This window comes from Homo sapiens, chromosome 5 (assembly GCF_000001405.40).
Source record: "Homo sapiens chromosome 5, GRCh38.p14 Primary Assembly".
Lineage (NCBI taxonomy): Eukaryota > Metazoa > Chordata > Mammalia > Primates > Hominidae > Homo > Homo sapiens.
In genome coordinates, this window is record NC_000005.10 from 32,919,434 (window position 1) to 32,934,166 (window position 14,733).

General features: G+C 35.8%; 1 long non-coding RNA gene across 1 annotated transcript in view, besides 1 other annotated feature; it reads right to left on the minus strand.

Annotated features, from left to right (window-relative positions):
- The window catches only part of LOC124900955 (uncharacterized), a 37,880-nt gene extending 31,487 nt beyond the window's left edge, over window positions 1–6,393 (minus strand). The window contains exon 1 of the long non-coding RNA XR_007058723.1: window positions 6,300–6,393. This is a non-coding gene — a long non-coding RNA (uncharacterized LOC124900955). The remainder of the gene's footprint in view (window positions 1–6,299) is intronic.
- Window positions 14,103–14,603: an enhancer, noted in NCBI's record as "H3K27ac hESC enhancer chr5:32933642-32934142 (GRCh37/hg19 assembly coordinates)". NCBI's record gives its function as "activates a minimal SCP1, AML or CMV promoter by ChIP-STARR-seq in primed H9 embryonic stem cells {active_cell/tissue: H9 hESC(primed)}" and the evidence as "EXISTENCE:reporter gene assay evidence [ECO:0000049][PMID:30033119]".

Sequence of the window (14,733 nt, forward strand, 5' to 3'; positions counted from 1 at the left end):
AAGAAAAATTTCTGAGAATTTTATACAATTAGGTATAGATGATTATGCTGAGCAGACTCAATCCTAAGAATGATCAAGATACCCCCAAATTATTGTGAGATCAGTCTAACAATTCAGTCTTTGGCGAACCACAGTGACCCATTCTTAGTGTCAGTCAGTGAATGAGTCCTGGATGACCTAAATATTTAAAATGGCTTATTGAGTATGTTATGGCTCAGTTTTATTTTTAAAATTCTGGGTTGGATTAAGGATTAACTTCTGTTAGGCTAAATGTTTTCAGGAGAAATTTAGTTGTCTCTTTTCTGGAGGAATAATAATAAAATCTGAAATAGAGTAATTCTAATATATCTCAAAGCATAAATACAGAAATTTAACAAGTAAGTTCTAAATAGTTTTATTCTGACTTAGACCATCTCTTCTGCATCCATCATAACACCTACTACAAGGCTGGAAAAATAGTAGGTGTTTAACATATACTATTGAATTGAGCTGAATTTTTCAGATTCTAGCATTGAAGAGCTAGATTGAAGAGCACTGAATATTTCAGATATAGTAAATACTATGTAAGCAAATAATTCCCACCTTTGTAAATCTGTTTAGAGCACTCCTCATTAAGGGAAGGAGATGGCTGAGCTTGGGGTATCCCTCCCTTCTTCCCTTGTCCTCCTCCTTTTTTCTCTTTCTTTCATCACCAAAGAACAGATGTGGTCTTTTCTGAAATTTTTGCTGGGGAGCTAATAATTTAAAAATTTTATTCTTTGTATAACCATTGTATCAGTTTTTATAAAAATAATAGAAGTAACATGTTTGCTAAAATAAATATCAAACAATTTTGAAGTATTGGTAAAAGCCATCCTTTGTATTCTTTTGAGAAAGTATCTTTCTTTATTTCCCCCCATGTTTATTAAGGAATAACTTACAAATAACAAAGTTTACCCATTTTAGGTACAGAGTTGATGAATGTTGGCAATTACATACAATCATGTAAGCTACCACAATCAAAATATAGTTTTGTTTTTTTTTTTTTGAGACAGAGTCTCACTCTGTTGCCTAGACTGGAGTGCAGTAGTGCGGTCTTGGCTCGCTGCAACTTCTGCCTCCCTGGTTCAAGCAATTCTCCTGCCTTAGCCTCCAGAGTAGTTGAGATTACAGGTGTGTGCTACCATGCCTGGTTAATTATTTTGTATTTTTTGTAGAGATGGGATTTCACCATGTTGGCCAGGCTGGTCTCAAACTCCTGACCTCAGGTGATCCGCCTGCCTTCACCTCCCAAAGTGTTGAGATTACAGGCATGAGCCAACGTACCCTGCCAAAATACAGAATATTTCTATCACCACAAAAAGTTCCCTCTGTCCCTTGAAATCATTCCCCCCAAATACCTATCCCCAGACAATCAATGTTTTGTTTTATACCATTACAGTTTTGTCTATTCTAGAGTTTCACATACATGGAGTTATATAATCAGGAGTCTCTTATATTTGTCTTATTTCACATAGATAATGTTTTGAGATTCATCTGCACTGTTGCATATATTAATAAGTCATTTTAAAATTGCAGGGTAATAAACAAATATCCAACATTTATTTATTCATTCACTAGTTGATGGACAATTGAGTATTTTTCAGTTTTTCAGCTATTATGAATAATGCTTCTGCGAACATTCACATACAGGCCTTTTTGGGGACATATGTTTTCATTTCTCCTGGAAAAAACATTTTGATGTGGGATTGGTGAACTATTTTCCAAAGTGGATGTACCACTTTGCATTTCCACCAGCAATGTATGAGAGTTGGAATTGCTCCATATCCCTGTTAACACTTGATATTGCCAGTGTTTCTAATTTTAGCCATTCTCATGGGTTTCTGCAGTATTTCATTGTGGTTTTAATTTGCATTTCCTTAGTGACTTATCATGTTAATAATCTTTATGTTTTATTGGCCACTTGTATACTTCTTTTGATGTATCTGTTCAAAACGTTTTCATATTTTTTATTGAGTTGACTTATTATTGAATTGTTGAGTTCTTTATGTAATTGGAATACACGTCCTTTGTCAGATATATGTTTTGCAAATATTTTTCCAGTTTGTGGTTTGCCTTTTCATTTTCTTAATTATTTCAAAAAGCAAAAGATCTTAATTTTGCTAAAAGTTCATTTTATAATTCTGAAATTTTAGGTCTTATGTATCATACATGCTTTACGTAGCACGCTGAATTCATGTTTAAATGGTTTAAGAAATCTTCGTCTAACCAAATATTTTCTCCTAGAAGTTTTATAGCTTTGTGGTTTGTTTTATATTTGTGCTTCATTTTGAGTTGATTTTTGTATTTGGCAAAAGGTATGAATAAAAGTTCTTTTTTTTTTCGTTGCTTATGGATGGATATCCACTTGTTCCAACATGATTTTTTGATCATTTTGACCCTGCATTGCCTTTGCACCTTTTTAAAAAATTAATTGACCGTATATGTGTGGCTGTATATCCAGGCCCTCCATCCTACGTAATTGATCTATTTTTCTATCTTGATGCCAATGCCACACTGTCTTACCATTGTAGCTTTAAAACAAGTCTTGAAGTTAGGCAGTGTAAGTCTCCCAAGCTTGTTGTTCTTTTTCAAAATAATTTTTGCTAGATTCTTTTTAAAAAATTTTTTTATTTGCATAGGTTATTGGGGAACAGGTAGTGTTTGGTTACATGATTAAGTTCTTTAGTGGTGATTTGTGAGATTTTGGTGCATCCATCACCCTTAACATCACCTTGTCAATTTCCACACAAAAGACTGCTCAGACTTTGATTGAGATTATATTTAAATATCTATAAATATTGAGGAGAAGTGAAATTTTAATTTGATTCTTCTTATCCACAAAACAGTATATCTCATCATTTCTACCAGAGGTACAAGGAGGAGCTGGTACCATTCCTTCTGAAACTATTTCAATCAATAGAAAAAGAGGGAATGCTCCCTAACTCATTTTATGAGATCAGCATCATCCTGATACCAAAGCCTGGCAGAGACACAACAAAAAAAGAGAATTTTAGACCAATATCCCTGATGAACATCAATGCAAAAATCCTCAATAAAATACTGGCAAACCGAATCCAGCAGCACCTCAAAAAGCTTATCCACCGTGATCAAGTGGGCTTCATCCCCGGGATGCAAGGCTGGTTCAACATACGCAAATCAATAAACATAATCCAGCATATAAACAGAACCAACGACAAAAACCACGTGATTATCTCAATAGATTTATTTAGGTCTTTCTAAATTTCTCTCGACATTTTTTTAAATGAGCCCAGATGAAAAGAGAAAATTTTCTTAATTTAAAATTTTAGTAGAGACAGGGTCTCACTATTTTGCCAAGGCTGTTCTCAAACTCTTAGCCTCAAGTGATCCACCTGCCTCGGCCTCCCAAAGTGCTGGGATTACAGGCATGAGCCATCATGACTTGCCTAATTTCTTTCAATGTTACTTGTAGTTTTCAGTATACAGGTCCTGCATTCCTTTAGTCAGGTTAATTCCTAAGAGTTTTGTGTTTTTAATGCTCTTGTAAATATTTTTTTAAACTTTCAATTTCTAATTTAAAGCTAGAACTTCAATTTAAATTTACAGTTTAATTTGAAATTATGTATACAAATGCAGTGTACTTTTTTTGTAGCCTGCAACTTTGTTATGAATTAGTAGACCAATTACTCTTTTTGTATATTCCAAAGGATTTTCTACATAAGATCATGCCGTGACTAAAGATTGTTTTACATCTTCCCCCCTGAGTTGTATACATTTCATTTCTTTTTCTCTCCTTATTGCATTGGCTAGATCCTCCAGTACAATGCCAACCAGAGTAGACATTCTTGCTTTGTTCCTGCTATGAGAGGGAAAGTATTCAGTTTTTACCATTATGTATATGTTAGCTATAGAATTTTTATATTTTAATAGATGCCATTTTGTTCTTTGTCTCATTTGTTATTATTTACCTTTTTTCTGCTTTCTGTTGGATTAATTGAATAGTTTTTTATTTTATTTCCTTTTCTAATATATTAATCAACCAATAAATCTAATCCCTGATGCTGCATTATGGCCAGAAAACCAATGAACTTGCGGAGAAGAAAAAAGAAAGACTTGTTCTACCATATATAAGGATGTGCTATAAAGCTTTAATACCTTTTATGGCATTGTCAGAAGAGAGGATGAGATCATTTGAGCAAAAAGAGCTACAGAAGAGACCCATATGAAGGGACTTATGAAAGAAGTTGCACTGTAGAGGGTTACAAAAAGCACAGTCTTTTCAATAGTGATGCAGAGACCAATGAGCATTCCTATGGAAAAAAGGAAATTTAACCCTATATAACATCATTCACAAAAATCAAATTTTTAGATCTAACTGTGATAGATAAATTTTAGATCTAACTGTGATCGATAAAACAATAAAGTTTTAGAAATTAATTCCAAAGAATATTTTCATTGCATTCGAGTAAGAGATTTCTTAAATAGGATGCAAGAAAGTACTAACCTTGAAGGGAAAAATGACTAAATCTGACTACATTAAAATTAAAAACTTCTGTTTACCAAGAAAACTATTCAGGGCTGAAAAGGCAAGCCAAAGAGTGGCAGAAAAAAATTTCAATATTTTCATTGCATATAATCAGTAAATATCATACCAGGATATATAAAGAATGCTAGAAAAACTGATTGAAAAATAGACAAAAGTTTTGAGCAGGTACATCATAAGAGGAAAGAAAAATAGCTAATAAATCTATGAAAAGTTATTCAACCCCACTAGTAACCAGATAGATACAAATAGAAACTGCAAGATACATGCAAACCAGACTGACAATAATTTAAAAACCCCAACAATACCACATTTTAGTAAAGATATAGATCAATGAAAGCTCATATGTAACTAGTGGTAGTACAAATTGGTGCAACCACTTTGGAAAACTCTGAGATTTACCTGTTAAAGTTGGAGATGCAGATACATTATAATACAACAGTTCTGCTCCTAAGTATATACCCAGCAGAAATGGGTACATATGTATGCTAGGATGCATGGAAAAAAGCCCCAGTCATTATTTATAATAGACCAAGTTCAGAAATAACCCAAATATCACTTAATAGTAAAATGAATACAGAAAATGAATTTAAAAATATTGTGGAATTCTCAAGTAATGGAATTTTATAAAGGAAATAAACTGTAGATATAGCCATGGTCTTAGATAGATCTTGAATATAATGTTGAACAAAATATACCAGATATAAAATTATACACACTTTTTCATTCCATTTAAATCAATTTTGAAAACAGACAAAAGTAATCTATAATGTTTAGGGATAAGTCCCTAACATTACAAAGAAAAGCAAGAAATATGTTGGGATAATGGTTATATTTAGAGGGGAGAATGAGATTTGTGTTTATGGATGAGCACCTAGGGGGTAGGTTTCTAGGGCATTGACAATGTTTTATTCCTTGATCTGGTTGGTGATAACACTTCTGTTAGTCTTATAATAAATCATTAAGCTATACATTTATGCTTTTTGCATATTTATTGTCTGTCATTTTTCACAAGGCCAAAAAGTAAAATGAATCACTAAAAACACAATAATAATTATCCCAGCATCTAGCTTATATTACTCCTATGTAAGCACAAAGATATAAAATACCTTGTCAAATGTCCTGCTTAAGCACATCTCCCTGATGTTTGGAGTAATCTTGTCAAAAATGAAAATGATATTTGCTAGACATGAATTGTTTCTAATAAATCTTAGACCCACGGGAGGCAGTATGTTGTCACATAAAAAATATAAAATGGAACTGACAATACTGCTACATCACTCCTGCCTAGCCCAATGCCTTGGAAAATCAATTGGCTACCTCCCTCTTCTTTAAAAATGACCTCGAAATCGATGATTACTTAGGCTTTCTATGATTTTAAACTTTTTAGAATTCATTAATTCTATGAATAAAAAAATTCTCTAAAATATCCTGAATTTCTGTTGTATAAGGCCTCTCTGATATTCAAGTGAATGTTAAAAAGAGGCATCACAAAACATGCAATTCCAAATTATATTCAGTGATAATCAGTTAAAAAAAACTAGAACATCTATGGCTAGGGCATCTAAAAGTTTTAACTAGAGCTTGCTGAGCAGTGTCTATATATATATGGTCCATGCTGTTGTTAAAGGGTGGCTTACAAATCCAGAGTAGGAGAGAAGTAGTCTAAAAGTTATTTTATTTTTGCTTGAGTTCTCAGCACAATCCATGTTAATTCCAGAAGATAAGTAATAGGCACCGAGCTCTACCCACTTACCTCTCAAGTCCTGATGTGTGGAAATACTATCCAAGTGGGAGCTGCTTGTTTATTCATTCAAGCTACGAGTGCTTATTTAGTTCCCGTTCTGGGCTGACACTGTGGAGAATGCAAAGATGGAGGGAGTATTATCCCTGCCCTCAAGTTGCTTACAGTCGACCTGTTACTTTTGAAAAATGTTATATAATTTTGATTAACATGAAACTTCAAAAAATTCTATTGACAGACTGATTTATTAACTTCTATAACAAGAAAATAATTATCAATGGAAAGTTGATCATTTGAAAATAAAAGGCCAATAATTAGCAAGCCAATCCCATGTTAGAAAGTAATTCCAACAGTATCAGAAAATTCTTATACCATGATGTTTTGTTCTAAAAGGTGAAAAAAAATTGAGTATGCAGCATGATCTCAACTATGGAACATGACAAAAGAGAAAATTACAGTAGTCCCGCTGCATTCATAGATTGACTTTCCATAATTTCAGTTACCTGCAGTCAACCGTGGTCTGACAATACTAGGATACCTTGAGAGAGTGAGAGAGCACATTGACATAACTTTTATTACAGTATACTATAATTGTTCTATTTTATTATTAGTAATTATATTAATCTGTTACTGTGCTTAACTTATAAATCAAACTTTATCACAGCTATCTATGTATAGGAAAAATCATAGCATATATAGGGTTTCAGCACTATCAGCGGTACTATCAGTGATTTCAGCCACCTACTGGGGATCTTTAAACATATCCCTCACGGATAAGGGGGAGCTACCATACACTAAAATGTGAATAGTGGCTATCTTTGGGATATTTATATTTATTTATTTATATCAAGGGTATATTTTCTTTAGAATCAGAAAAATATATACATTTATTTAAAAATATATCAAAAAGGTAGTTAGTATAAAAGTTTTCAAAAATAAAGTAAAAGAAACCAAGTTTGTATTTACTTGGAATTAACCCTGTTTAGCCAGAGCACTGAAGAACAGAGACATGTGGCACCTAGAATTACAAGGTCATACTAGAGTTTGTTTGTAAAAATCCACAGCGGAACCAACCCAAATGTCCAACAATGATAGACTGGATTAAGAAAATGTGGCACATATACACCATGGAATACTACGCAGTCATAAAAAATGATGAGTTCATGTCCTTGGTAGGGACATGGATGAAATTGGAAATCATCATTCTCAGTAAACTATCGCAAGAACAAAAAACCAAACACCGCATATTCTCACTCATAGGTGGGAATTGAACAATTAGATCACATGGACACAGGAAGGGGAACATCACACTCTGGGGACTGTGGTGGGGTGGGGGGAGGGGGGAGGGATAGCATTGGGAGATATACCTAGTGCTGGATGACGAGTTAGTGGGTGCAGCGCACCAGCATGGCACATGTATACATATGTAACTAACCTGCACAATGTGCACATGTACCCTAAAACTTAAAGTATAATAAAAAAAAAGAAAAAAAAAGGGGATTCAAAAAAAAAAATAAAAAAAAAAATAAAAATCCACAGCAAAAACACTGGAAGATTAGAGAAGATAGAGAGAAAGGAAATTCAACCCCATAATTGGGAAAAGATTTTGCTGAAAACATTTGCCAGTTTTTCTAGTAATAATATTGTTTTGCTTGATAATCATTTTGTGTCTGCCAATGGCATTGTTCTCTATGTTCTCTAGTGACAGTGAGAGATAAAAGCGAGACAGATATGTGACACGTAGTAACGTGGGGAAACATTTTCCCTTGCGACAGGAAGAACAGAAAATCTTACCTCCTTGAATCTTGAGAGTCTTTACCCATGCCACTGCAGAGTAACAGAGTTTAAATTTAATATAATTTTTTATTTTTATGGGTGTTTTTGTTAGTCTTAATTTATTTTTATATTTGTATTAAAGTTTAATTAAGTATAATGAAAGGCACAGTTCCTAGGTATTCAGTTTGAGGAGGTTTGACAGTAATAAGATCTAGAACAACTAAGTTCCCTTGTGCCCCTTTTCCCATCAACTCCCCTGTCCCCTCCTCAATTACTTTCTGATTTCTGTCACCACAGATTAGTTTTCTCCCCTTTTGGAATTCTTATAAATGGAACCAGAGAGCGACACATAGTAACAGAGCTTTGACTACAAAGTCTAGTTTGAAATTTGTTGAAATTTCCTGGGCTAACCTCCCAAGAATTCTGGGGTATTATCAATCACTTCATGTAAACAGGTAGATATGTCACTACAACAGCAACAAAAATGAGTTTAAAGTTGCTCTTTTCCCCTTTTGCTCAATTTTCCTAGATAGGAACGTATAACCTTATAACCTGAAAGGTACCAGTTTCAGGATGACTGAAACTGACCATGAAATCAGGGAGACTTGGGCTCTATTCCTGTTAATTCTGATAGCTAGCTTAATAGTCTTGTTCAGGTTGTTTGCTCCGTCTCTGTTCTCTTTAGTTCTTCTAATCTCTAAAATGAATATGACTCGAGATGGCCACACATAAATAGTGGTGTTAAGGATCTTCTTTCAAGGTTTCCTTGCCTTTAATATATATGGAGGTTGTGGTGAGCATGCTCGTTCTAGGCATGCTCCTGCATTGGCCCACACTTTTTCTTGTACTGCCACAGTCTTCTGACTCCTAACAGTCATTCCAGACCTCTGTTCCACTCTTTGCTAGTCAACTTACTTCATTTCATAACCAGCTTCTCCAGGATATTGCCATAACCCAGCACCATTTCATGCAAAGTGTACACCCAGTCCCCTTCAATTCCTCCAAAGAACAGGTGAGATAAGGCCACAATATTTAGCAGAACGGTTTCAAAGGCTTGGAGATAACAAAAGTATAACATCAATTACGTTAGAACAAAAACAGATCCAGATTCTGTGGGGAATAATGTTTATATAATTTGGGGGCTTTCTGTAAGAAAAAGAATACAAACATATCTTACCTTGCAAATTTAAAAACACATGACCATGTACACACATTGTTAAGCCCCCTCCCAAGATCTTTGAAAGGGGCCTACAAAGTAAAGAATGCTGGAAATTAAACTTCATTAGTTTTATGGTGAACCCACCTTCACTTGTATTTGCTCCCAGAAGTTTCCAGACCCAAACCCTGATTATTTATACAGCTCCTATCAAGCTTCCATGAGAAGTGAAGCCAGCTCAGCTCCTAAAAATGGGCATATTCAAGACTCATCACCTCATGCTTCATTTCCTTCCCCAGGATGAATCATGATAGGGACATCTATGTTCTTCAAGAAAATGCCAACCCCCATCTTCAAGATGCGTCCTGGCTCACATGCCATAGACACGGATATCACAGTAGTTCACAGTATATATCCCAAAGTCTGATGTCTGGGTTATTAAGCCCTTACTGACACCATATTTGAGAAATCATTGGTTTAGCCAACACTCCTCACACCTAGGAATAGTACATTTCATAGTACATCATAGATGATGTGAAAGAGAAGGTGAACTTTGTCCATTCCTTTTGACCATCAGTCAATCACCCCTTTCCTATGAGCTAGTGTTGAGGCAAGACCATAGACAGTCTCTCCAACAATAAATACGATTTTTCAGCATAAGGAAACTTAAAACAAATTTTAAAAGTTGTCTAAATCTTTGGATTCATGGTCTTGCTAATAGACTTGCTTTACATTATGAAACCAAATTCTTAACATTTCAGTCCAAAAAGCTTTCTAAAGAACTGTCTATAATGTACTGCCCTCCATCAGCTCCATAGCGATCTCTCCCTGGACAAAAGAAGGCTATATCTGAAGATAAATCCATTTTCTCCTGAAATACACCAGCTGCTTTCAAATGTCCTAAAAGACAATTCTCTAACTGTAAAAACTCTTAATTACAATCTTCCTAGGGTTCCCTCATACATTGTATAACCACACTCTTCACAAGGTCGTGTGAAGATTACATTAAACAGTATCTGTGAAAGTGCTTTGCAACATTTAAAGACTACATAGATATAAACCATGTTACTGTTGGAGAATTGTAGCCCAAATTCTGTCAGTTTTTTAACTGATCAAACTATTGGAAATCCTCTATTACCTCTGTTAGTGGCCTCAGGAAGGGTAAACTAACATTCCCACAAATAATCCCAAATCAAAACTTCAACCGCCCCCTCACTTATTTTATTCACCTAAAAGCTGGTGAAATAGTCCAAAAGTAAGAGGTAAAGAAGTAAAGTGCACAGGTTTAACCAGAAATCAACAATCGAAACATAGTGGTTTTGGAAGAGCAATACATTAAATACACCTAGATAACACTTGAAATTGTTTCAACAAAAAAGCAGGGTATAAATAACTCAGAACCCTTAAAAACCATTATTAGTATATAATGCCAGCATTAGTCCCAACTCCTATTGTAGCATTATAAAGAAACATCACTCTAGTTACTGTCTGCCCACAGGGTGCACAGCAATTTAAATACATGCTTCTTGTTGTGTAAGAGGTTTTCTTTAATTTATTACCTAGTTCAAGGTCTCTTAAATCTTAGTCTTTTGTGAACTACATTCACATAATGTAGTATAATCTGTTAACTTTATTCATGAATTACTTTCCTTTAAGTTGACTCTCTTTTAAGAACTTAAATAGCTAATTTTAGTTTCATTTCAAGCAATAAACCCATGACATCTTCAACTTGTTTTCTATTTTTTAATTTTAATTTTATTTTTTAATTTTTTAAAGACAGGGCCTTGTTCTGTCTCCCAGGCTGGAGTACAGTGGTGCGATCACGGTTCATTGCAAACCTCTGCCTCACAGGCTCAAGCGACCCTCCCACTTCAGCCTCCTGAGTAGCTGGGAATACAGGGGTATGCCACCAGGCCCTGTTAATTTTTGTATTTTTTCGTAGAGATGGGGTTTTGCTGTGTGCCCAGGCTGGCTATTTTTTAAAGATACACATGAAATAAGTGAATAGCTTATCAGGTTTTTTTAAAAAAAGTTTAACCATCTTAAAAAAATTGATACTATCATAGTTCATGTACCACGATGGAGGCAAAACTGAACCACATAATGTATAAGGAGATAGTAGTAGACTTTGCCTGTATTAGAACTGTGAGGATAATTGGAAATCATTTAGTACAGCCTCCACTGAAACTGACAAAACAAACAAGGAGAAATTGAAGAATCAACAACTCTTTTTTTTTTTCTCAGCTGGCCTTAGGCTTAATTTTTTTTTTATTTTTTTTTTTATTTTAAGTTTTAGGGTACATGTGCACAACATGCAGGTTTGTTACGTATGTATACATGTGCCATGCTGGTGTGCTGCACCCGTCAACTCATCGTTTACATTAGGTATCTCTCCTAATGCTATCCCTCCCCCCTCCCCCCACCCCACAACAGGCCCTGGTGTGTGATGTTCCCCTTCCTGTGTCCATGTGCTCCCATTGTTCAATTCCCACCTATGAGTGAGAACATGTGGTGTTTGGTTTTTTGTCCTCGTGATAGTTTGCTGAGAATGATGGTTTCCAGCTTCATCCATGTCCCTACAAAGGACATGAACTCATCATTTTTTATGGCTGCATAGTATTCCAGGGTGTATATGTGCCACATTTTCCTAATCCAGTCTATCATTGTTGGACATTTGGGTTGGTTCCAAGTCTTTGCTATTGTGAATAGTGCTGCAGTAAACATACATGTGCATGTGTCTTTATAGCAGCATGATTTATAATCCTTTGGGTATATACCCAGTAATGGGATTGCTGGGTCAAATGGTATTTCTAGTTCTAGATCCCTGAGGAATCGCCACACTGACTTCCACAATGGCTGAACTAGTTTACAGTCCCATCAACAGTGTAAAAGTGTTCCTATTTCTCCACATCCTCTCCAGCACCTGTTGTTTCCTGACTTTTTAATGATTGCCATTCTAACTGGTGTGAGATGGCATCTCATTGTGGTTTTGATTTGCAGTTCTCTGATGGCCAGTGATGATGTGCATTTTTTCATGTGTCTTTTGGCTGCATAAATATCTTCTTTTGAGAAGTGTCTGTTCATATCCTTTGCCCACTTGTTGATGGGGTTGTTTGTTTTTTTTCTTGTAAATTTGTTTGAGTTCATTGTAGATTCTGGATATTAGCCCTTTGTCAGATGAGTAGATTGCAAAAATATTCTCCCATTCTGTAGGTTGCCTGTTCACTCTGATGGTAGTTTCTTTTGCTGAGCAGAAGCTCTTTAGTTTAATTAGATCCCACTTGTCAATTCTGGCTTTTGTTGCCATTGCTTTTGGTGGTTTAGACATGAAGTCCTTGCCCATGCCTATGTCCTGAATGGTATTGCCTAGATTTTCTTCTAGGGTTTTTATGGTTTTAGGTCTAACATTTAAGTCTTTAATCCATCTTGAATTAATTTTATATGAGGTGTAAGGAAGGGATCCAGTTTCAGCTTTCTACACATGGCTAGCCAGTTTTCCCAGCACCATTTATTAAATAGGGAATCCTTTCCCCATTTCTTGTTTTTGTCTGGTTTGTCAAAGATCAGATAGTTGTAGATATGTGGCATTATTTCTGAGGGCTCTGTTCCATTGGTCTAGAATCAACAATTCCAATGACGCATTTCTAATATACTGCTTTCCATAATCAACAGAACAAACAACAAAACCTAGTGGAGTCGCGGAAATTTGGAAAACACAGTTTAAAACACTTGATTTTATGCCATATAAAAACATGGATTCAACAATTGCAGAATGTGCATTCTTTCAAAATACACATGGAACATTTTCAAAAAATTTGACACTGTACTGGACCAAGAATAATTCTGAACCAACTCCAAAGGATAGAAGTCATATAGAGCATGTTTTTTGACACAAAGCCATTAAGCAAGAAATCAAGTATATATAAGCATGTTTTTAAAAAATACTATTGAAATGATGGAATGTTCTAAAGAAATTAAAGAGGTGATTAAAATAAAAGAGAATAAGGCGGCTGTCTAGACATTGCTGATATTCAGTGGTACCCATCTGCTAATTTTGCTTGGCATCTGTTCAAATTATTCAGTGCATTCTTACTGCCTGCTCAGGATCTGGGTCAGGCTGGTTGCTAATACTCTGAATATTACACCATCTTTACAAACTAACATGGGGGAAAATCCTTTTGGGCATGGCAGAAGGTTGGATAAAAAATAGCCACTTTGCAAAACCCATGCCTGGAATGATTCTATTTTGTCAAAAAAAGGAGTATATGTATTCTTAAAACTAATGGTGAACATTATTTAATTGTACAAAGTGAGTATCTTATTTAATCTTCAAAATATCCCTGAGAAGTAGGTTTTATAATTATTTCCATTTTATAGATGAGAAAACTGAAGCTTAGAGAGGCTTAAAGAACTTGGCCAAATTACGTAGCTAGAAAATAATGGAGTTGCCAGTCACACTGTGCTTTCTGCCCTTCCAAATATTAATTTTAATTGTGCTATTGCTTGGAAGGACGAAGAAGAAGCTGGAGAGTGTTTGGCACTGGTAAGTCTAATTGGAAGCCCCTGGGGGTGGGTATAGGATAAATGTTGAGGAAGCATTGTTCTTTCCACTGTCACTCTGGATTCGATGTACTTTTTGATTATTTAAAGTTTATTTTTTCAAGGAGTACGTTGTGATTTTTTTCAGAGGAAAATTGACAAACCAAACTAAGTAGCAGTAATTCATCCTACTACCAACAGCCTGTACTTGTGACGTCTCCAGTGGAGAGCAGATGCCCAGGAAGGAGCTCTACCCAGCAAGCTGAGGGTTCAAGAATGCTTGTGTGGCTTTGAGAAAATAAACCCCCATCTGTATTAGAAATGCTTTGTATTTCTCCAACACCGTTGTCCCAAAGGCTGAATAAACACTCCTGTATCCTCAGAGCACCCTGTGAAGTCCCTGGTGTGGTCTAGGAGGGTGTGGAATTGAGTGGTGATAGCCCAAGATTAGCTCTCACCAGCATTTAGGGATTCTGGCCCTTGGCAGGAAACGACTTAAACTCTGTGTACCATCAACTAAAGGCATCATGATCTTTATAATAATGATTTCCAGCCTCAAATGGATGCTATTAATTAGTCTAAAGTTTTCAGGGGCTTGAGAATGCCGGATGCTAAGGACTGAATGAATGTGAAGTTTTAGCCAAATCATAGAGCTGGGAGCTTGGAGAAGGGAGGAGGTGAGGTGACTCGCAGCCCGTCAGTCACACGAGGAGGCTCAGGGCAGAAAGAACAGGATGGCCACTGTCCTGGGGCTGAGCTCCCTCTTCTAACCACACCAGACCACGTAATTAGAAATTACTTCAGCACATAAACAGGTACTTTACAATGTTTTTTTGACAACGGGCAGCACGCTTCTCCTTTCCACTGCCAGAGGGGAACCAGCGTTGGCTTCCCATGGGCCCACCTCCTCTTCAGCCCAGCCCCGTCTTCCCCTACAGAGAAAGCAGCAGACACAGTCACACGGGAACATCTGCT